Source organism: Homo sapiens, chromosome 4 (genome assembly GCF_000001405.40).
Source record: "Homo sapiens chromosome 4, GRCh38.p14 Primary Assembly".
Lineage (NCBI taxonomy): Eukaryota > Metazoa > Chordata > Mammalia > Primates > Hominidae > Homo > Homo sapiens.
The window spans coordinates 146289180-146314191 of NC_000004.12; the positions used below are offsets into that span (position 1 = coordinate 146289180).

At 38.2% G+C, this 25012-nt stretch overlaps 1 protein-coding gene and 1 long non-coding RNA gene across 13 annotated transcripts in view; one reads left to right on the top strand and one right to left on the bottom strand.

Moving 5' to 3' along the window:
* The window catches only part of SLC10A7 (solute carrier family 10 member 7), a 267960-nt gene that overhangs the window by 35199 nt on the left and 207749 nt on the right, over positions 1 to 25012 (bottom strand). For 8 of the 11 annotated variants that reach the window (XR_007057973.1, XR_001741332.3, XR_938780.4 and 5 more), the window contains 3 exons: positions 16747 to 16830; positions 4751 to 4916; positions 3750 to 3801 (listed from right to left, as the gene is read on the bottom strand). Coding sequence is in view for 6 of the 11 variants with exons in the window: in NM_001317816.2 (NP_001304745.1) it covers positions 3750 to 3801; positions 4751 to 4916; positions 16747 to 16830 (302 nt within the window). In the remaining 5 variants the exon portion in view is untranslated. Of the gene's footprint in view, positions 1 to 3749; positions 3802 to 4750; positions 4917 to 16746; positions 16831 to 19638; positions 21786 to 25012 lie in introns of those variants that run through there. The other 3 variants (XM_047416248.1, NR_133924.2, XM_017008692.2) reach the window with 3 other exon arrangements.
* LOC105377472 (uncharacterized) lies at positions 6016 to 9894 on the top strand. Of its 2 annotated transcripts, none has more exons than XR_007058304.1 (3): positions 6016 to 6099; positions 7789 to 7916; positions 9578 to 9894. It is a non-coding gene; the product is annotated as an uncharacterized LOC105377472 (long non-coding RNA). The 2 variants fall into 2 exon arrangements; XR_007058305.1 differs by having other exon boundaries at positions 7789 to 7898; positions 9578 to 9841.

Sequence of the window (25012 nt, forward strand, 5' to 3'; positions counted from 1 at the left end):
TGCCAAGGCTTAGTTGCCTCCTCTGAAATGGTAAGAAAACTTACCATTAATGATCATCGCCATCTTCCTTGCCTGCTTCCCTTTCCCATTCTCCCATCCTGCTTCTCCCAGGGCTATGGTGAAAGGCAGATTGAGATATCTCACTGGAAATGTACTGATCAGAATTAAAACACATATACAAATATTTGTTTTCTTCCTTTTCCTTCATTAACAGTTTCTTTTGCCACTCTAATGACAATATAGGTTTCTGTTACTCTAGTTATCAGCCTACCAAACTTTTTAACTTTTTATATATTTTTAAAAGATTTCCAATTACTGCTTTCCTTTTCTAAGCTTTTTCAATGTATGTGTGTGTTGCTTATTTTTTTTTAAATTTGCAGTTTCCCAAAGTTGCAGAATGGTTAGGTCATTGGATAGCTGACTCTTGGCTTGATGAATCAACTCATTTCCTAGCAACTAGGACAGAGAAAAGTAAAAAGTAATGTATTACAAAGTAGCAAAGCTAATGCCCCATCTCTGATTATTAGTTTTTTTTTTTTTTTTTTTTTTTTTTTGAGATGGAGTCTTGCTCTGTCACCCAGGCTGGAGTGCAGTGGCGTGATCTCAGCTCACTGCAACCTCCGTCTCCCGGGTTCAAGCGATTCTCCTGCCTCAGCCTCTGGAGTAGCTGGGATTACAGGTGCACGCCACCACGCTGGGCTAATTTTTGTATTTTTAGTAGAGATGGGATTTCGCCATGTTGGCCTGGCTGGTTTTGAACTCCTGACCTCGTGATCCACCCACCTTGGCCTCCCAAAGTGCTGGGATTACAGGCGTGAGCAACCACACCCAGCCAGATTTTTTTAAAAGTACAGAAATTCTTGGGCTGGGCGTGGTGGCTCACGCCTGTAATCCCAGCACTTTGGGAGGCCAAGGTGGGCGGATCACAAGGTCAGGAGATCCAGACCATCCTGGCTAACATGCTGAAACCCCATCTCTACTAAAAATACAAAAAATTAGCCAGGCGTGGTGGCGGGAGCCTGTAGTCCCAGCTACTTGGGAGGCTGAGGCAGGAGAATGGCATGAACCCAGGAGGCGGAGCTTGCAGTGAACCGAGATTGTGCCACTGCACTCCAGCCTGGGCGATAGAGCAAGACTCCATCTCAAAAAAGAAAAAAAAAAAAAAAAAGGTACAGATATTCTCCAGGCAAGCCAGGAATTTGAGAACAGAGAATGAGGCTATGTGAGAGTTAATTTAGGCTTCAGACAAATTCGAAGTAAATCATTAGTAGATGACTATGGCAGGGGACAGGGCGGGGAGGGGGTGCAGAGAGGGAGAAATGTTCAAGCTATATGCTGTCGTTTATCAAAGAAAGTGCTGGTTTGACTGTAAGTCAAGGAAGTTAAAAACCTGACAGATGCTAGTTGCGGTGAATCATGCCTATAGTCCCAGCACTTTGGGGAGTCAAGGTGGGAGAATCACTTGAGGCCAGGAGTTTAAGACCAGCCTGGGCAACATAACAAGAGCTTGTCGCTACAAAAAATTACAAGTTAGCCGGGCATGGTGGTGTTTGCATGTAGTCTCAGCTAACTCAGGAGGCTGAGGTAAGAGGATCACCTGAGCCCATGAGTTTGAGGCTGTAGCAAGCTATGATGGCATCACTGCATTCCAGCCTGGGTGACAGAGCAAGCCCCTGTCTCTAAACCAAACCAAACCAAACCAAAACAAAACAAAACAAAAACCCTGACAGAACCTCAGTGAATGCAGAATAAGCAAGAAAAGAAGGATTTCAAAATTACAGATCCTTATGAAAGTCCAGTCTACTCCGTGCCATAAATCTTAATTTCAGTTCAACTAGGTGTCACACTTCTGCCACCCATGCCTCCTTTAGCAGTCCCAGTAGTGGCTGCTCTATGTTCTATTTTTCAAGAAAATTTTTAGTCATTAACAGGATATCTGCATCCTACCTCATCCAATAGGAGGAGTGGTTCTGATGATCACTTTTGCCACAAGGACAAGCAAACAAACTGCCATTGAAAGGCAAATGTCTTTTCTAAGGTGATATAACAAGCCATTTACAAAAAGAACTTTAAAATAGCTCCTGCTTTCAGACTTACCCAATTAAGTCACATTTTCTCTGTGACTTAATGGCTCCAGGCTTTACTCTTACTTCATAAATCACAATCTCTAGCTTGGGAAAATGCTTCAAATTACATCAATCAATAAGTTTTTATTGACTGTTTACAATCAGCCTAGTGCTACACCAAGTGCTGTGAGAGCCAAGTGCCTAATGTGAGAGCCTGCACCATCCACTGCTCTGACGCTTTTTCAAGCCTTATAAACAGCATAGGCTCTTTCCCTTGTGGTCACTCATTGCTATTGCCTGGTGTTCATGGGCTTTGCAATCTGGCTCAAGCCTACCTTTCCAGTTACTATTACTATTTCTAATCTTCCTCTACTCCTTTTGTCTCACCATATCTTGATTTTTGTATGTGTCCACATTTGCATTATTGCTTCTTCTCCCACCAAGAACTCCCTCTTGGCATCTCTAACTGCTGAACAATTAGCCATTCTGTATGGCTCAGGTCAAGCCCCATCATTTCCATGAATCCTTGCTCTATACTCTCTTGGGAAGTGCTTCCTTCTTCTTTGAACTGAATACAGGTTGGCTTACTGTACCACCCAGAGGACACTTGGGTTATCAGTGCAAGATTGAAATCACCTCTTATTTGTGGCATTCCCATGGTAACTTTCTCTAACCAAAAGTTCAAGTAATATTTGTAACGTATAATAAAGGTGGAAAAATTTGCATTTGAGGTAAGCTTTTAAGAACAGGAAGGAGGAACCAGGACATGGAGACTAATTTGGATATGGGGACTGCCTAAGCAAGGGACAGAAATGAGAAAGCATGAGGTCTTTCCAGGGAGCAGCAAAGATTTTACATCAACCTAAAGCTTAGACAGCATGAATACTAGTAGTGGTTCATGAGACTGGAAAATAGACTAGAGTACCTTGTCCCCCAAAATAAACTTCATTCTATAGGCACTGGATAACCATTGAAGATATCTGAACCAGAGAGCCATGATCAGAATTCTAGTCATTGGAAGCACTATGAAATGCATAACAAAAGTTGGGTGTAGAAATGGAATTATCAGTAAGATATCCATTGAAATAGCCTAGAGAGAAAGAGGCAACAAGAGCCTGAATTAAGGAAGTGGCTTTTGGAGCAGAAAAAATATTACAGAAGTAGGATCGGGAAATTGAAAAAAAAATGATGTGAAGGATTCCAGCTTGAGTAACTTTGAGGATGGTGGTTCACTAAAAATAAGGAAAGAAATAAGAGAAAGAGGCAGTTTTTGGGAAAAACATGACTCCATTTTGAATATCTTGAGTCTAAGGTCTTGTTAAGACAGTCAAGTAAAGATATCTAAATGGTAAATGAAACATAGGGTTCAAACTCAGTTAAAAACATTGCAATGGATGGTTTGCACCTGAAAATCATCAGTATGAAGCTAACAGCTCAAGCCAGTAGAATGGAAGGGCCTGCCTAAGCACTCAATGTGGATAGACAAGATAAGGCCAAGGAAAGACCCTTTGTAATGTCTACAATTTGAAGGTGGCAGAAGGGAGGCAGAATGGTCAGGGAGACAGGAGAAAAACATATGTAAAAGGAGAAAAAAATATAAACGTGTATAGTGGCATAGTAGCCAAGTAGACCGCATGATTCCTAATTTAGAAAACTAATAACAAGAGATACCAAATCACTTACCTTGTTGAAAAGATGAAAGTTAAAAGCATAAAACTCAGCTGGATAGAAAATACTGAAGAAAAAAAGATTGAATCTAAATTAGCACTCTAAAAGCAGTATTTGTAGCATACTTATTGGTATACTTGTTTTATCTAAAATTTATAGGAACTAAAAAAGAAAAACAAACAAATAAACCAAACAAGCATGCCTTGCTAAATTGAAAGAATCATTTAAATTAGTGGGACTCAGTCTGTTCTTATTGATGATATCCCCAGAAACAGTCTTTGTTATTGAGGGAAAACCTAAGGCCTCTTTAAGATTTGGTTATTTAATTTGGTCAATTTAGAAAGAGCTGGTTTATACTATGAATATTTCTACAAATATCACAAATGCAGTAGCATACAATATACTTTAGAATAACAAAAGATTCTTTGATATTACAACATTAGTAACAGTTGTCTTTGGGATAACAGGATAAATAGAACAAAAGGTTGCTTTTTGAGCTTTAGCAGTTTCCTGCATTTTATAGTCTGCTGCTTCTCAAAATGAAATGACATTATTTTGGGTAAATTTTATTAGAAAATATGATGTAAATATTCATATTTTAACCAACGCAGCCAAGTTATTATACTTAGAAATAATAGTATCATATATTATACATCCTGTTTTTAAATCACAATAAGGGGTAAGATCAGTTTAAAGCTATAATAAACTAAATTGGTGACACAGTGCTTAATCTAACATTTGCATCTGACAGGAATTAAGGCTTCTCTCACCTGACATCAACTACTATAAATCAGAAAATGGGGCAGCAGACGCAAAAACAAAGGAAATTACGATATAAGTGTAAAGCCGATGTATTTTAAAAGAACAGAATAAAGTCACTGAGTAAATGTAAAATAAAATTAAGCATTCATTTCTAGTCAAATTAACACTAGACATGAATTTAGAGAACACACAGTGCTACGCGTTGCTATTGAGGACACTGAGGGATAGCCAGGCTATCCCATTTTCCAACTTACTTATGAACAGTATGAGAACAAGGCTGAATTTATCCAGGTCAATATTTGGGTTAGAGAACGTGTCACAGAATGTTGTGTAGATGATCATGAGGAGTACACTGCTGCTGATAGCACCAAAAGGAGGCTTCTTTCTCTCAAGCCAATCCTTGATGTATCTTCGGACAATCTGAAATACAGAGATCAACAGGTTGCCTCTTTTCAGAGATGGAGGGAGTTGAAATGGGCATCACAAAGTGATTCTGACAGGAGAAAGACATAAAGGAAAGAGAATAATTTGGCTGATGGCCACAGTGGATTTCAAAGCTTCCCTGCCACACTACTCTTCTTCTGGGGAATTTAACATTTGTAGTGCAACTTCCACTGGGTGTCCATAATGAGAGTATATTTTCAACTGCATTCAAATCCATCCTTAATCATGCCAAATGCTCTTTGCTAGCTGTCACTGAGACATGCCCATTAAACCTCCCCAAAGTTTATCTCCTCTGCTGATCCTAATGGATGTGTGTAATTATCACAGTCCCCTTTGCCTCAACAGACAATTCCAAGTGCAACTTTGGGAATCTTAAAAATCTGACATCTTCAAGAATTTCAAGACAGTAGATAATCGAAAGTGATCCATGGAACATATTAATATTTAAAACGCTAGCAATGCACCAGAAGTTTTTAATTAAATTATAACTCATGCTTGAAAAGCAAAAGTGCATGTGTTGTGGGAGTTTAAATAATTCAAACTCTGAATATCTAGAGTTTTTGTGAATCCAAAGACAAATGCCATTTGCATACTTTTAGAATTCCAGAATTAACATTTAAAAATGAATAAACCTGTCCTAACTCTCCTACAAAAGGATCAGTGAAATATAAAGTTATAGAGCAATTCTGTCTTATTTTAAAATCAGGTCATCTGAATATTAGTGATAACTTCTGTTTGGACATAAAAGTGAACCACTCTACTTAAAACATTGTTTCACTTTTGAAAGAAGCTGTACAAGTCCCATCATAAGGACGATAGCTGAGACATATTAAGTTTTGAGTCACTCATTATCCTGCATAATTGAACATGAGAATTCACAACAGGCTGAATTACCATGGATCCATTAGCAATAATGAGGTCAGGGAACTTATCCTGATAAGGCTGATGGGGTTCTGTCATCAGGTACTCTGTCACTAAAAAGGCTTAATTCGCAATGGAGCATATCTTTACAGATGCTCAAGAATAAAATAAACTACTCTCAATAGAATCTTTGAACAACTGGCTGTTGGATCAACTTCAACTGTTCTCAGGGACTCATGAAGTGAACTGACAGTGTATTAAAGGCAGTCTTGGCAGAAAGCTGGCCAGCTGGTACCAGGTACAGGTACAAAATCCTGAAGGTTAGGTGGGGTGGGAATAAATGGAAAGTGTGTTAGATATTTTAAAAAATTGTAATTAATTTTCTTTAAAAAAGTAGATCTTGTAATTAAAGCCGCACCTGGATTTACAAAATATTATGGGGTTTATTTTGGGAAGGTGGGGGGAGTGTAGAAGTGATCCCAAACCATAGTAATTTATCTAGCATCCATTTCTTTCTTTAAATTTAAAACACAGTGATGTACAGAAAAATAAAAGCAGTTCTGTCACACAGCATTATGTACTGACATATTAGAACACAAATTTTGGACAACAGTGCTATAGGTATCATGGGTATCTAGATGTCTCCATGATCAGATATGTCACTAGGGTTGGTGGGTAGCTGGTCATTGGAAGGCCACAGAGGGACTTCATTTAAAGGGTCATTTCATAATCTATTGTGTTTGGTGGTACAAAACTGGTAGCTGCCCAAATTTAATATAATTCAACTCCTTTAGGAAATAAAATAAATGGAAATTACATGAAATTATTGAAATTGTTGCTGCCCTTCAATCTTGTTTTTAATACACAATGGTTAAAAACACCACAAAATTTCTCTCTCTGCAATAGGTTATAGAATGTATGATCCCAATTCCAAAAATAAGTGTCTTCCTCTCCTACCAGCATTGCCCTCCAACAAAATAAATAAATATGAATGAGGTGCAACTTGTAAGTGAAAACCATTTTAAAACCCAAGACAAATCTGTAATAATTAATCAACTGTATAAGCAATACAGATGTCCCTTGGTATCCACAGAGGATTGATTCTAGGACCTCTGTGAATACCAAATCCACTGATGCTCAAACCCCTGATAAAAATGTGTAGTGTTTGCATATAACCTACACACAGCCTCCTGTGCACTTTAAATCATCTCTAGATTACTTATAATACCTAATACAACTATTCACACATGTATTATACTGTAGTAGGTTGTTACACTGTACTTTTAAAATTTTGTATTATTTTTATTGCATTGTTATTTATTTTTTCCCAATATTTTTAATCTGCAGGTGGTTGAATCTACAGATGCAGAACCCACAAATACAAAGGGCCAACTGTAATTTGATTGAGTTAACCTAATAATCTCTTTCTTCATTTCAAAGTACTTAGAGTCTCATAGTAGAATAGGACTCCCTCAGTATGGCAAGAAACAGGGTCTCCCAGGTCCACAATCCTTCTAGCCAAAATGTCTTTCTTCTAAACACTCCAATAAATTGATGGTGGATACCTAATCTCAATAAAGAAAAGAACTGGAAAGTTGGAAATGGACAGATGTACAAGTAAAACAGTACCCCTAGGGGAAAGCAGATTGTCTTTCACCATTTCTAGTCTTATTGTGATATTTGTCTACATTTTCTAAGTAAACCCTTTTATATCTTGCCAGGTTGCATAGAGCTTTTCCATCTTCCTCTAAAATTAAATTCACAAAGCAGCTGCTTTTGCACTATGTAGCTAGAAAGGCGTTAAAATGTTTCATAAACAAAAACTGGGTGAAGTAGTGTTGACATGCCTCAAAGATATGCTTTGGATATAAACTCCAGGAAACTTTATCTTCTCTTAGTTTAGCCACTTACACTTTTGATATAATCATTCTGTATTTGTCAAGAATTCATGTCATTTTAAAATTCTCCAAACTTCTTTGCCTTATAGAAATCTTTAATAACCTTATATGAAACAACACTTTGCTCGAGCTAGATCAACACAACCTGATATAGATGCCTCAGAATTCTCTCTTGGGAAAAAAGAAAATCCAAGATGAGGTGGGAGAAGACATTCTGGTGAGGTGGCCAGTTCTATCTTCCTTCAGAATCTATACTAATTAATTTGCCCTCAGACCTCAGAGAAATGTAGGCGTTCAAAATTAAGTGACAAATCCTCATTAACCTGTTTACTTTTCCCTGTGAAGAGAGAAGGAAAAAATCTTCCATAGAAGCTTTTTTATTTTGTTGTCTCACCTTCAAAACTTTGATTTTCTTTATTCTAAATTAAATAGCAGGAAAGGGTAAAGGAAAACTTAAATTTGACTCTCTGTGCTTCTAATAAATGGAGCCACATATCAATTCCTGCATGACTTCCAAGTTGGAAACCTGTAAAAATGACATGTCTTAGGTGTAGAATGTTGATTCACTGAGATAGATATAAAGTATAACACCCATCATCTTAGTTTTCTTAATATTTTTAAAGTATTTCCTTGCTTTTTATTTCTATTATGTCTTTACCCTATTCATAAATTGATTTTTGAATAAGGATATATGATAGATAATGTTTCACGTTGTCTGAATTTTAAGACTTTTCTCTTCAAGGTGGTTTCAGTTTGTTTCTTCAATTTTTATCCTCTATTGCACTAAATCCATATAGTTTCATAAAGTTTTGTTTCTTCATTAATATCCTGTTTTAATATATAGTCAGAGATATGAAATCAAATCCAATTTCTGTAACACTTTATTTTTATTAAATATTGAGTAGATTCAAAATAAAACACTTGGCAAAAAAACATAAACAATAATAATAAATGGGCACAATGAACACTTATTATCTACTTCACTCTTTGAAAATTCTTCCCCTCTATTAATTCATTCCATTCTCATGAGAAAGGTCACACATTATTATTCTGCTGAGTTTACAGTTGGAAACAGAGGCACAGAGAGTCAAGTCAACTTGCATAAAATGTTGAAAAGCTAGGGAGGTGGCTGAGTAGGACTACGACCCCTATTTCCTGAGGGAACCATGGCACAGGGGCTCAGGGTACAGACTCTGGAGCTACACCGCACCTAACTTTGAGTCCTGGCCCCAATCCTTACTTTGTGATGTTGGGCAAATTCCTCACTTTCCGTGTGCCTCATCTGTGATATAACAGTAGTTGTCTTGAGGATTAAGTAATTAAATAAATATAAAATGCTTTAGAGACCGGGCCTGTCCCTGGTACATGATCACTATTCTTATGTCCAAGTCTCAGTTTGATGATGTTTCTATCACTGTTTATCAGTACACCTCACTGTTACTTTTCTCTCAAAGCATTTTCAGGTGAAGCAATGAAAATTGTTCATATCTAATATAATGCTATAAGTGTAAAACTCTACTAGTATTAATAACACTAACTTCAACTTTAATGGAAGACTAATATGAAAGGCCCATCTCAAACTGAAACAAATCACTAATGGAAAGACCAGAGAATGCATGAATGATAATGTATAGATATGCTTTTTTATTATTAATTTATAGGGTAAAAAGTAGGTTTTAGTGTGCTGCTTTAAAAATATTCAAGGTGATGGAAAATAAAAAGTGGTAGAATTTCTGTTTCATTGTTTATTTGTATACCACTCTTAAATATAATGCACAAAATAAGTATTTGTCACAAGCACTTAGATGTATTGAAAAGGTTTGTTGGAAAAGAAGAGAAAATGCTATGACAGCCGGCACAAATTTTCTTTCTTTCTAGATTGACAGAAGGAACAATCTCCTAACCATCTATGGAAAGACTAATCTTATCTCACAGAGTCGTAACACCTTCAGGGTAGAAGATACAACACACTTTGTTCTACAAATGAGGAAAGTGAGGCCTAGGAGCTGTGTGTGCAGCCAAGCAGTGAGGAAGACCAAACTACACCTCCCATCAAATCAGAGTCAGTCAATAATGATTTAAACCAAAAAGAAGTATTGTCTGGGGAAACAGAAAAATAAAATTCACTCTCAGAAATATAAATCACAAGTTGAATGACAAACTTTTATCACCAATAAAAGATTAAGAAAAATATATTCAGCTCATACTTCCTGGTCTTTTTCTTCTCCCTCTAGTTCCCATTTTCTGTTTAACCAGTAATGATAAAACCTCATGTTAAAAGATGCATATAACAATCCATACAAGCGTTTATTTTCATAATTTGGCACTCCTGGTTACAGTTGTGAAAGTAGCCTGCCATGCAGGACACCTGATTCCTCTGAACTAGCACATATGTGTACGGCTAACAGGGTCCTCAAAGATTACATTACACAGTTGAGGTGACTCAGTGGATTAAACTAGGTAGACAAAGTCCCTGCTCTCATGATGTTTACATTCTAGTTTAAGAGAGAAATAAAAAGCAAAACAACAAATAAACAAGAGGCAAAATAATGATACATACTAAGCTGAAGTTTAAACTAAATGATATGATAGTGACTGAGTTGCTACTGGGTAGCCACTCAAGGAGAGGGTGGGGAAAGGTCTTTCTGAGGATGTGAAAGGCGGCAAGGTGTTTCAGGCAGAAGGAACGGCCAGTGCAAAGGTTCTAAGGCAGGAACAAGACTGGCATGTTTGAGAAACAGAAGCAAAGTCAGTGAGACGTGAGTGCAATGGGCAAGTGGGAGAGTGTTGGGGAGGTAAAAGGGACTTGAAGATAGAGGATAAGGTAACAATCCCTTTGAAGAGTAGAAAAAGAAACACTATAAGGAAGTAGGGTAGGGTTTCTGGGAGGTGTTAGATGACACCTTAAATGTGGGGTCATAAATTCAACACAAGATGAGACCAATGTGTATTGCTCTCTGAGAAGCAAAGCTCAGCTGCTCCAGTAGAAGCGGGGTTGGGCCTTTGTGAAGCAGGTAAAATGGAGAGGTGAAGAAGCTGAGAGCTCTGCCAGGGAGTGAGGTGAATGACAGGTCATGGAATCTGAGCAGCTCCATTGCACGCATGGAGTAGGCAGAGTTGGCTTTAACCAGGGTTGGGGCTTTTTGAGCAAGTACATCAAAGGGAGAAAGAGTGAAGGAGTTGAGAATAATTGCCAAGGAGGGATTATAATGGTAGACTAAGGAATCAAAGCTGGGTAAGAAGGGAAGTAAAGTCGTGAGGATGGTGACTGAAAGGTCAGTTAATCTGGGGTCTTGGTGAGACTGAAGAATTACTGAATAGAGTATGTGAGCTTAGTAGGTGAGGACAGGTATGGTGGCTATGAAGTGGGCTGCCTGAGATTGATCATCAAGGTCCAACAAGCCTGCTATAGCCCCATAGCACTTTTGTGTGTATTAGAAAAATCCCTTCTTTAATATACTTTGTTTCCTCCTGCCAGAACAATTTTAATAATAAATATTCAAACCTATGATGCCTATAAAGTGAGTGCACTTCTTTGAAATGCAGCATTGTTGTGTACCACACACTCTATACCACTGCAGGCAGAGACGACCTTGTGAGGTGGTGATTATAGGAGGAGGTGGCTGAGGTGGCACTGCCTGCCCTGGGCACCCCTGCCTGTGGAATGCTCCCCCTTCTCCAAGGTACTGGAGGACCTGAGGATCATGCAGCAGCACTTATATAATAACATCTACTCAGATGTGTGGCTCTATCATTTATGTTAATGTACCTGTGGGCCAGTTACAGCACAGTTCATCCAAAGACTAAAGTCAAAGGAGGTGTTAGAAATATGGCTTTTCTTTAACATAAAATTTTGAAATATTTATTTTTTCTTGAACTGGTATCCTTAAAAAAGATATACTTTTTTTTCAGATATGTTTTTCAGGTGATGACTAGGAAAGAAGTAAGTCATTGTTATTGAGTACCTACTATATACAGACCTAAAAATATTATCCTGAACAAATGGCAACCTAGGGAAAATTACTGCTGGGCGCTCCCTGAAGATAAATTCAAAATTCTCTTCAGTCAATCTTTTTATACATCTTACACCCTACTCTTGAATATGTTATTAAGTATACCTATAAATAGTAACCTATGGAGACCACCACTTAGGATGAAATAACAGATTAAGTACATGCATATGTACTGAGAGTTACTATAAGCAAGGAGGTAGGAAAATTAAGAAGATATAGTCTCTGCTTTTAGGCAGCTCATCAATAAATTATATTATTTCCTGATAAATTTATGAATCAAGTACGATGGGAGACGTGGAATTTAATCGAGGCCAGTCTAGGTCACAGCAGGCAGGCGTCACATTAGAGGGCACCTCTGTAACAAGTCTTCAACAATGAGTAGGAGTTTGCTGGCAATACAGTCAAAGGCATAGAGCAGTGAAGGGCCATGGTCAGGTGAAGGATGATGAGTATGCAGCATGGGAAAAGCAGAGCCCTAAGGAGAGGAGTGGTGGGAGGTGGCACTGGAGAAGCAGGTTGGGCCAGACTGTGAAGGGCTTTGGGGCCATGCAAGGAATTGGCAACAGGAAGGCACGAGCAAGTTTTTAAGGAGAGGAATAATATGAATTGATTTGTGTTTTAGGACTACTCTGGAGGCAGTAAAGACATTAGATGGGAATTGGAAGAGACTCACAGCAGAGAGACAGGTTTAGGAGGTGCAGTAATTTAGACAAGAGATGATGAAGGTGTGTCATCCTCTCCAGCAGTGTGACTGGGGCTGCAAGGGCCAGGTGTGAAAGATTTCTGAGGCAGAAACGGTAGGATGAAGTGACTGCCTGGATGTAAAGGAGTATGGCTGTAAGGAGAGGGAGGAGGTAAGGCTAATTGGTGGTTTCTAGATGTGGAGACAGGGTGGTGGCTGTTAATTCCTAAGACCAGAATACAAGAGGAGGGGCAGGTAGATGCAAGCATATAGGTTTCTCCTCGAAAAGAGTCATCAAAGAACTGTGGTATCTAGAACACTTAAGAAAAAAAAAGCTACCTATACTACCTTTTGACTACCATTATTACTTTATAATTTACTGAATACTTTACTATTTACTACTGAGTACATGAAGAATGAGCCATCTAACAATTCATTATTCCCTCGGGATAAATGTTTTTAAATTACATACATTATATAACCCTAGACATACATAATTAAGTAAGCTACATGCAGATTTTTTGTCTGTATGTTTTAAGCCAAGCATTTATTATTAATAAGGAAATTTCCAAGATCTACCATGAGAAGAATGCATAAGCCTTAAATTATTAGATGGAATTATTTTCAGAACAAAGAAAATAAGTATGAATTTAAACTAATATAATCCACAGTTTAAACTGTGTGGAGATGAGAAGTACAGGTAGATTCAGTTATGCCTCTATACAACAAAGCATATCCCTTACAGATCACAGAACTCTGGCTCATTCATTCTTTCACTCACTCTTTCAGCACATATTTATTGGGTACCTATGGTCTGGGAATGTAATGATAAACAAAACGAATATGGTTCCAGTACTCAAGAAGCTGACAGTCGAATGGCAGAGATAAATTGTTAACAAGCAAACTAAACATAAGTATATTTTGTGAGAAAGGTCAAGAAAGAAATCAAACAAGGTGTTGCAATGAAGAATAACCAGGGAAATATATATCAGCTATATGGTTCAAAGAAGGCTTCATTAAAGAGTCAAATGAGAAACAAGTTGAGGTGGGAGGGTAGGCAGAAAGACACTCTAAACAGAAAGAATGAGCAGGAACTGAGAAAACCAGAGAGGCTGGAAGTAGGAAATCTGGCAGAGGTCAGAAAGGTAGGCAGGGATGTAACATTTATTCAGAATCTCTGTTATGTGATCAACACTGTGGGAGAAGTATTTTTTAAGTATCATTTTATATTTAATTAAATGCTATTCTTAAAGTGCTTTTAAATCCCCCATTTTATGCTAAATTTAGTCCCTTTTCTAAGTATAAAATTAAAAAAAATTAGTACATGTGTTGTGGATGCTGTGGAGCACCACCCAGATCCCTCTCTTCAAGAATGAGATACTTATACCCACAGCTGCAGGGAGTGTTAGGTGAGTAAAATATGTCAGCAGAGTTCCTCTTCGGGACTTGCCCTCAGCCTAAGAGAGCAGACTCACCCAAGGTCACAGCCCTCATGGAGGGTAGGAGGGAAGCCAGTATCTAATGACTGGTCAGTGTAAGAGTATAAAGACCAGGTGCTCTTGCCTTAAGGCAGCACAACTCTGAGGGGTCATTCCGGCTCCAGAGTTCCCCATGGGTTCTACTGAGACCTTTGCTGGGACTGCATCATCTCCATCCTACTTTATTCACTCTATTGTTCCCAAGGGTACTCCCTAGTAAACTTCCTGCATAAAAACCTCTGTCTTTGAGTCTGTTGCCCAGAGAACCTGACCTAGGACAGCATGTAAATATTACACGTCTATGCACACATTTCTTTTTCTTTCTTTTTTTTTTTTTTTTGAGACATAAAGAGTCTTGCTCTGTTGCCCAGGCTGGAGTGCGGTGGCACAATCTTGACTCACTGCAACCTCCGCCTCCCAGGTTCAAGTGATTCTCCTGCACCAACCTCCTGAGTAACTGGGACCACCGGCACCCACCACCACACCCAGCCAATTTTTTTGTATTTTTAATAGAAACAGGGTTTCATCACATTGCCCAGGCTGGTCACGAACTCCTGACCTCAGGTGATCCGCCCATCTCAGCCTTGCAAAGTGCTGGGATTATAGGCGTGAGCCACCGAGCCCAGCCTATACATACATTTTTTATATTCAATATTTCAAAGACTTGTTTCCTGTTTAGTATTTGCAGGGAATTTGGTAATAATGATTATGATGATAGAAGCTACAGAGCACTTACCTGTGTTAGGTTCTATGACAAGAAGTTTACAGGCATGCATATTTCAGTTAATCTTTACAACAACCCTTTACGATAGATATTATTGTCATAATATTTAATAAATTATGAACCTAGAGCTAGGGAGATTAAATAACTTGCCCATAGTAACACTGCAAATAAAAGGCAGAAATAAGTCTAGAATCTAGTTGCTCTTAATGTACTGCTTTCCTAAGACTTGTTCACTTTAGTTGTGCATTAAATTCTATACTCCAATACTGTGGCATCCTATGATTTCATAGAAAACAAAAAAAATCCACTTGTTTTACAATTTGTATGCTTATATGCTTACTACTAACTTGTTATAAGAAGTTAAAATAGAATTCCTATCAGTCCAATTGAATAAGAATGACAAAGTAAACCCTAAATATTCTAAGATAAACTTTAAGAGATAATAGGATTAAATTGTTTATCAATTACATGGTCACAAACATAACTGCTGTTGGAGGAGTCTATAAAGACACCAACCAAAGACAGATGCTTGTTCCCAACAATGGTCATAAACACGGAGACCTTATCAAAAGTTGCAGAATAAGGTAAAGACTTGCTAGATGTCTGTTGTTGGTGCTATAAATTTCCCTCTACACACTGCTTTGAATGCATCCCAGAGATTCTGGTATGTTGTGTCTTTGTTCTCGTTGGTTTCAAAGAACATCTTTATTTCTGCCTTCATTTCATTATGTACCCAGTAGTCATTCAGGAGCAGGTTGTTCAGTTTCCATGTAGTTGAGCGGTTTAGAGTGAGATTCTTAATCCTGAGTTCTAGTTTGATTGCACTGTGGTCTGAGAGATAGTTTGTTATAATTTCTGCTCTTTCACATTTGCTGAGGAGAGCTTTACTTCCAAGTATGTGGTCAATTTTGGAATAGGTGTGGTGTGGTGCTGAAAAAAATGTATATTCTGTTGATTTGGGGTGGAGAGTTCTGTAGATGTCTATGAGGTCCTCTTGGTGCAGAGCTGAGTTCAATTCCTGGGTATCCTTGTTGACTTTCTGTCTCGTTGATCTGTCTAATGTTGACAGTGGGGCGTTAAAGTCTCCCATTATTAATGTGTGGGAGTCTAAGTCTCTTTGTAGGTCACTCAGGACTTGCTTTATGAATCTGGGTGCTCCTGTGTTGGGTGCATATATATTTAGGATAGTTAGCTCTTGGTGGGACTGTAAACTAGTTCAACCATTGTGGAAGTCAGTGTGGCGATTCCTCGGGGATCTAGAACTAGAAATACCATTTGACCCAGCCATCCCATTACTGGGTATATACCCAAAGGACTATAAGTCATGCTGCTATAAAGACACATGCACACGTATGTTTATTGCGACATTATTCACAATAGCAAAGACTTGGAACCAACCCAAATGTCCAACAATGATAGACTGGATTAAGAAAATGTGGCACATATACACCATGGAATACTATGCAGCCATAAAAAATGATGAGTTCATGTCCTTTGTAGGGACATGGATGAAACTGGAAATCATCATTCTCAGTAAACTATCGCAACAACAAAAAACCAAACACCACATATTCTCACTCATAGGTGGGAATTGAACAATGAGATCACATGGACACAGGAAGGGGAACATCACACTCTGGGGACTGTTGTGGGGTGGGGGGAGGGGGAGGGATAGCATTGGGAGATATACCTAATGCTAGATGACAAGTTAGTGGGTGCAGTGCACCAGCATGGCACATGTATACATATGTAACGAACCTGCACAATGTGCACATGTACCCTAAAACTTAAAGTATAATAATAAAAGAAAAAAAAACTTAAAAAAAAAAGACTTGCTAGATGTTTTCAAGGTAGCTACACAGCTACAAAGAGGAGATAATAAATTAAACAAAAATCAAGACTCTGTGTAGAAGTCCCTATATATATAGCTACCAGGGGTGCCTATATACAGCTAACTGCAAAGCAGATTAGTATTAATTTAAAAAATAAAAAAGATGAGAATACTGTGATTGATGAAAGTTTTGTTTTTAGTCTCATATTTTCATTTATCTCCTCCCTCTGAATATCCTTTCTCTCAACTGCTCTGACATTATGTAAGATTTCACAATTTGATCCATAAAGAAAAGATCAGATAGAATTGGAGGCCTTACCTGTCCAATGATGAGAGGAACCACAACAGTCATAAAAAGCTGAGAAAAAATAGATGTGAAAGGCACAGAAGAAGATGAACCAAGCTGTAAAACAAGAAAATAGGAGTTAGAATTACTTCAAATCAGTTATCAAGCATTAGTGTTTATAAATAATGCAATAAATAGATTTTCTCAGGCGCACCAAAAATTTGGTAGCTATCTACAAAGAATAAGTGAAGTTACCTCTAATTTTCTAAGTTCAACACAAAAAACTGTTAAGTATTTTAAAATATAATTTTTATTGGGAGACTAAGATTGAGAAAAATATTGATTTGCAATCAACCTAAATTGCTTATTATTTTAGTAAAGTCATTCTGTTTTCATACAGTCTATAATCATATGGCATGATATTTCATCAACAATTACAGGTTATGTGATTTTTATTTCACCTGTCTGTAGATATCTAAAATAAATGTCTCATTCCTTTATCAAGATAACATTTTTATTTATGTAAATGAAATAGTTTCTAACTTTCTGACTCCTTCAAAACAAATATAATGAATCTCAGATCCCGTAGAATTTTTTCTTACACAATGTCTAGCAAATGGGAAATCCTGAAATATAACTTATTTTTCAACTTAAAATTTCAATATAGCTCCCCTAAATTTGTACGCTTTAACACTGTTCATAATTCCTATTTTTCTTCTTCCTCATTTTTTGATTCTTTCTTCGTTAACAATTACAATCTCAGTTTCATTAAGATGCTATTCCCTGCAGCACAAGAGTGCTTATCTACACACACAGTAACACACTCACGTTAGCCTCCATCACTAAGAATTGCTAAGTCTTCCTATGGAACTTTTCAGTGTTTGTCAAAACCTTCTCCTGTTTTTCAAACTTCTCTGGACAAACAATAGATGTTTTTCTCTTTCACAGGTTCATTTTGCAACCAGATCTACCAAACCATCGATAATTGGCCCTTGGAACTTACTTTTTGCCTTTCCCCTGCAGACCAAACCTCAGTTTTCATATCTACCTAAGTTTAGTTACACTTGGAAATATCTTTTGGAAAACAATTTTTGTGAAAGGACATGGAGGTAATGATGATTGAGGGTACAGAATGTCAAACAAAACAGATCAAACATTTAGCTACATGAAGTCAATAGCTCTGAATGAAGTGGTACGGGAACAGTGTTTTCACTGATTTCTGCATGAATGGTTTACAAAAATCTCCTCTCCACTCCGACACATTGTATAAAATTCTGTCCCCCAGCTCCAGCCCCAATCTGCATACACTCAAAATGCCAAGAATATATATCTGGCCCATCATTGGCCCTGTGTTCATTGAAAACCAGCTTCAACACTGACCACTGGCTGTCTATTTAACCCATAAAAATTGGTGGTCTCTAGCCCTTTTTCTCCACAACCAATATAAACTAAAATGAAGAGAGACAAACAGAAAAAGTGAAACTGGAAAAGAACAAACAGGATTCCTGGTGTGTTACATGTCACATGGCTGTTAGATGTTTCTTTTTATGCAAAACCAAAATATTAAAAGCTAATAATTAAGCTCTATTTTAAAGCAACTATGTCTCTGCAGCACAAGGTGCTTAACAAATACATTCTCTCCACAAATATTAACCCTAAGGATATTCCTGGGGCAAGGACTGAAATAAAGAAAAAAATATATTTTACTGAGAAATGAGGCACTGGATGAATAGAAAAATACACTTTAAAGAACAAAGTTTTCAAGTTCAAGAAGGTCTAGCTCAATGCTCTATTCATAAGGTTTACAGAACTTGGAGAGAAGTAGCAAAATTAAGCTATAATCTTCATGTAAAAGGTGACATTTCCTGCCTGAAATCACTTCAGTGATCTCACATATCCCTGGCTCCTCTTTCTATCTCAACTTTATTATTAGGTTTTTAAATTTTTTATATGAATAACCATTTCAAAGGTATATTCTCTCTTTAAGCACCCCAAAATAAAGAAAAATCCATTTCAACTTGGGTTTTAAAAAGTATTATATATTTACAATGTCTCCATCCTTCGCATACCAGACCACTGGCATATTCAATGTTTGGAAACCGCGTGTTCTTAGAAGACAGTAGAACAAGGCTATGTGTTGAGGAGGTTGTCCATGATCTCTATGGTCCCTTTTTCCTCTAAAATGCTATGATCTCTGATCCACTTGACTGGAAACACAGGTTACAGCAGCCTTCCTCAGAGGCTCTGTCAGATCAGAGATCAGAGCAAGCTACTCAGGGATGTAATTAACTGGGTACATGAAGACAGACGAGGTATGGCAGGGATGCTGGGGACGAAATCCCCCAGGATGGCTCCCTTAGAAGTGGCTCTGAAAGGAAGGAAACCTCAGTACTGGAGTCTAATTTGGCATAAGTCCTTTCTTTTGAATTGGCCAACAGACCTGTCACTGTGGTCAGTATGAAGATGCAGAGGACCCCTGGGGAAGTTTCTGATGCTATGAAGTATGCCCTGGCATCCAGAAGACAGAACAGCAAGCATCTGGCACAGCGCAGCCTGTGAGGACAGGACTAGAGACACACAAAACCCAATCACTCTGCATGCAGAGGTGATTTTAACTAAAGCAGAAGAAAATAAGCTGCTTGGGATATTTGGTTCTTCATATTTTAATGAGGAACCTGTTGTGGTTTCTATTGTAAAGATCAGTGTGTTTATGAGAAGCAGCAATAATTTGCAGGTGAAGTTTCCAGGTTCAGAAGGTTGTATCAAGCAAGTGCCCTGGACTTCATTGAGCCACCCTGGCAGATTTAGAAGTAATATGTCTCATACTGCCAATCCATGGTTTAAGATACAGCATGTTAAGCAAACAATCCAGTCCCTGGCTAATTTCTTGCAGAAATATGTAGTACTTTAAAGGAGAAAACTCACCATTAGCTTGGTTTCTTTGTTTTACTATCCTATGCTGAGAAGAAATCATTCATGAAAATTCAGTATGTGGAAATTTAGGATCTTTGCATTCAATCATTCAAGTAGTTACTTAGTGCTTCCTGTGAGCTAGGGGCATGTTCTTGACACTGCGGATACAACTGTAGACAAAACACAAAAACCCCTTGTGTCAAGCTGCTGCTTTTTAAAAGCTGAGGTCGGTGTGCACGCCTGTCCATCGCCAAGTATGCCTGCACTCAGTCCTCTAGAATGTTGTTTTCCCCACTTATAACTGGAAAAGTTTGAGTTTTTTTCCAAGACTCAGTTCAAACATTACTTCTTCAGGAATTCTTTCCAACACATCCTCCAAAAATGCTGAATTGGCCACCCTCTCTTTTGTGAACCATTGTTCTGTGTATCTGAATTGTACCTCTCGGAATCCTTGGTTGTTCTTGTTTACAAATCTATGCTCCTGAAGGTTGGGACACTATGTCATTCACATTTACAGTCCCATTGCCCAGCAGAGTGACCACTTTCTACATCTAGGGCAGTGGTTCTCAAATGTTAGCACATCAGAAACATCGGGAGGGCTTGTTAAAACACAGACTGATTTTGCCATCCTCACAGTGTCTGATTCAAAAAGCCTGGGGAGAGGGATGGGAGTTGTGGTGAGAATTGGTATTTTTAACAAGATGCCCAGTGATGCTGCTGCTGCTGACTTGGGGGTTCACACTTTGAGAACCACTAATCTAGTACATAGGGTGTGCTCAATGAATGTGTGTCAATTAGTGAATGACTGTAATACAAAGGCAGAAAAAGCTTGCGAATGCTTTCAACACATTCTTCCAACTTCATTCAGGTAAGCTGCAAAGCTCTACTTAGTTCACAGACCCAAGTAAGGATCATCAGCCAGGTCTCCCAATCAGTTGTCTTCTATAATCTCAATAGTAACATTTATCGTGCACTTTCATGTGACAGACACTGCTTTGTTTCATTTTTTAATAATTTCAACTTTTACTTTAGATTCAGGGGGTACACGTGCAAGTTTGTTACATGGGTATATTGAGTGATGCTGAAGTTTGGGATATGGATTATCCCATCACCAAGATAGTGAGCATAGTACCCAACAGTTAGGTTTTCAACCCTTGTCCCCTTCCTCCCTCCCCACTCTATTAGTCCCCAGTGTCTCTTGTTGCCATCTTTATGTCCCTGAGTACCCAATATCCAAGCTCCCACTTGTAAGCGAGAACATGTAGTATTTTGTTTTCAGTTCCTGTGTTAATTTGTTAGGATAATGGCTTCTGGCTGTTTCCATGTTGCTGCAAAGGACATGATTTTGTTCTTTTTTTGTGTCTGTGTAGTATTCCATGGGTGTATATGTACCACATTTTCTTTATCTAATCCACTGTTGATGGTCACTTAGGTTGATTCCATGTCTTTGCTATTTTGAATAGTGCAGTGATGAACATGTGAGTGTATGTATCTTTTTGATAGAATGATTTATTTTCTTTTGGATATATATGCAGTAATGGGATTGCTGGGTTGAATGGTAGTTCTAAGTTCTTTGAGAAATCTCCAGAACTGCTTTCCACAGACACTGAAGTAATTTACATTCCCACTAATTGTGCATAAATAAGTGTTCTCTTTTCTCTGTAGCCTCTCCAGTATCTGTTGTTTTTTCACTTTCTAATAGTAGCCATTCTGACTGGTGTAAGATGGTGTCTCATTGTGGTTTTGATTTGCATTTCTCTGATGATTACTGATGTTGAGCTTTTTTTCCTATATTTGTTGGCCACTTGTATGTCTTCTTTTGAGAAGCAGACACTGCTTTGAATGCTTACTGCATGTGGAATAATTTAATTCTCACAGCAACCCCTTGATGTTGGTTTTATTATTACCCTCATTTTCACAAGAGGCAACAGTGGCACAGAACAGTTAAACAACCTGGACAAGGTCACCATAGCTAGAAATTGACAGAGACAGAATCTAAACCCACAAGTGTAGCTCCAAAGCCCTCACACTTAACTCTTTACACTCTACTACACATTAGTTATAGGTGGTACAGTGTGAAACAGGGGAAGGGGGCACTAGTGAAAATCAAAGCTGGGCTCCTCTTTTTGTGCCTATGTGAAAGACAGGGGGAGGATGGGGGGAGGGGGATGAGGGGAAGGGGAAGGGGCAAACCACAGAACACAGCAAATGATTGGAGTGACTGGTTTCTCGACTCTCCCAAGGATGGTACATAACTAGTGCCAGGGTAGATGCATTAGGGAGAAGTTAGTTCAATACACACAATGAATGCCTTAGGACATCAGGGCTTAATTCTCTAACTGGGCAGAGAGAGACTGAGTGGAAGCAAGATTGACTGTTATCAACCCATTCAATCTAGAAACTATTTCATCTGAAAGAATCTGGGGGTCCACTTGGTAAAATAATATGGGGCAAACTAACCAGGCTTAGAAAGACAAATAGGTAGCAGTTCTTGATGAAGAGATGTTGACTGTCTGTAGAATCACAGTTATCAACCTACAGTTAGAAAACAGATGGTGCATTTTAAATCACTCCTGTAAGTGAGCTGACCTGTAAATTGTCATTAATGCACCAGTTCTTCACTTGCTCTGCTGTGTAATCGGCCTTTTATCTCCTATCAGGGAAATCCATTAGCCACAGGCATCTCCACTATTTGTGTCTCTTCCCAGCTATTAAAACATTATTGTATTAAATAATTCACCCTTGATGATTGGTCTTCACTTTCATTAGCACCACATTCAGGGAAAAATAAGAATAGATATTTACAGTTGATACTGTAGAATTATGAATGTTAACTCTCTTTTGCTAGGAAATCAGAAAGTAGCAGCTTCAGACATAGAGCAGGATTTGTTGTCTTCCTGCTCTATTTCCACCTCTCCACATCACCCGCAGAGCCCAGCCCTGGGGAAAGGGAAAGGGAAGAAGGCTTGCTTACTATTGTGCCCACACACAGACACACTCCTAATACCCATATCTCCTTCCTGTCACAAAGATAAACATTTAAACAGAAGAAGGAAGAGTCTCCCCAGGCCCCAATCCCCTCCCTATACACGATATAGTTCAGCTTTTCTTTCATTCCTACTGCTCCTTCTCTCACAGGGGTACATGCAAACTAAACTTACATAAAATTGTCAAGTAAATGTATACCAGGTGACAGACTCAAATGTTAAAAAGACTATGATTTTTATCAAAATTAGGAATATGGTTATTAAACAGCCATACTGATTCAGTTGCATGCATCAAGCTAAAATTGGGTTATTGTGTGGAAAGTATATGTTTAGGAGAGGAAAGTATCTTTTTAATATTTATATGCACAGTCTTTTTCCCTCTCTGAGAAATAAAGAACAAAAGAGGCTTAGTAGATTTTATCAATATAAAAACATTATATAAAACATGGCTTCACTTTTCTTTTTGTTTATATGCTAGCTACTGTTCTTTTCTTAGTTTTATTGAGGTATAATTGACAAAGATTGTATCTATTCAAAGTGTACAACATGATGTTTTGATATACATATATATTACAAAATGATTACTATGATAAAGCTATTTAACATACCCATCACCTCACATAGTTACCTTTTTGTGTATGATCTTAATACTTAAGATCTAATCACTTAGCAAATTTTAAATATGCAATACTTTATTATTAACTATAGTAGCGATGCTGTAAATTAGGTGTCCAGAACTTACTGGCTTATAACTGCAAGTCTGCATCCTTTGGTCAACATCTCCCCATTTCTCCAACTCCCTGGCTCCTGGTAACCTCCCTTCTACTCTGTTTCTATGAGTTTGACTCTTTTAGATTCCACATATAAGTGAGATTATGCAGTAATTTTCTTTCTGTGTCTGGTTTATTTCACCTAGCATAATGTCCTCCAGTTCATCCATGTTATACGCTAATTTAAAATGTAAGATGAAAAGGTTACTTTCTAATAACTTTGATGGAAACTTAAAGTGTGCAATCACAGGTTCAGGTTACTCAAACCCACACAGTCTGTTTAGTGAAATGTGCCAAAATGAACCGTAAATTGGCTTGTTCTAACCTAGAGGAAAGAGGAAAGCTATGAAGAATTGAGCTTCCAGGCCATGAAGGGCTGGAGGCAGAGATACTCAGAGGCCTCTAGGACCAAACTTTGCTCCCTAATTTTTGACCAAAGGATTTGGTCTTGTCAATCCTGAGTGTGGTTTGGGAACCAAAGGACCTGCTATTGCTAAATATTCTCTTAAGTAGAACACATGATTAAGTTCCTTCAGCTTGGTTACCAATAGGCAAGGGAGTAGCAAGGAACCAGTGTCTTTCCAACTCTGGATTGACCCTACCCGCTTAAGGAGCACCCCCAGTAGCTGGTGCTGAAGAAGGAACCAAAGGGCAAGGGAAAAGCCTGGCTAGGACAAGACTGCCCCAACTCATCCCATGTCTCCAGCTCACTTCAGTGAAGCCTGAGAAGTCCCACACCAGCAGTGCAACTGGCCTTCTTGGGACAGTAGTCCTTAATGGGGGAAGAAGTTTATCAATGTCACCTCTTTCACCTCTAGAGCATTTGAAAACTGCTTACTAGGTGCTTCCCTTCCCTTAGTCAGAAGCTACTCTTAGCTTCAAGGGGAGATTTGTCTTCATTTGCTTTAGAACAAGGTAGAGAAACTGACTCAATGTGAAGCAACTGAGACAATCAGATGGCTAGTTTTTTTTCAAGTGGTTTTAGGTTTATCATTTTATGCATCTCACACGTGTGTCCATTAATTATGCAACCATAAATGGAAACAAATTATAAAAAATAATTATTGTACATGACACTAATGGCTGTATACATTGTTTCTGTTCATAGTGATGGGATCAAAAGTTGAAGAATTTTCTATCATAGACAGCAAATTACTACGGAAACTAATGATGACTGTAGCCTTGAAAGCTGCCCCTTGGTCTCTTTCGCTGACCTAGACCTCTCTCTTCTATGAACTCCTATTAAGCTCAGTTCGAATCACAGTTTAGCAGTCAATTTCTTCTCTAAATTTCTTCCATATTCTTGATTCTTGTTTGCCCAAATACGTTTTAAGTTTCTTCAAGGCAATTATTATGCCTGCTTCTTTTTCCTCTTACCTATATTACTTAGGATATAATGTTCAAGAAAAAGTAATTGTGTGCTGATAATATGTTTTAAAACAAACTGTGTCTCCCAAGAGGCATGCTTAGGAAGCATAACCTGGAAGGGGCATTCAAGGGGAGGCAGACCCAGGCTGAAAGCGTCTTGTGTTCTCTACCAGTTGTGCAGTCTCAGTCGAGTGACAAAATCTCTCTGAACCTAGCTTTTCTCATATAAAGTGAAGATAATACCTCCAAAGCTAGTCATGC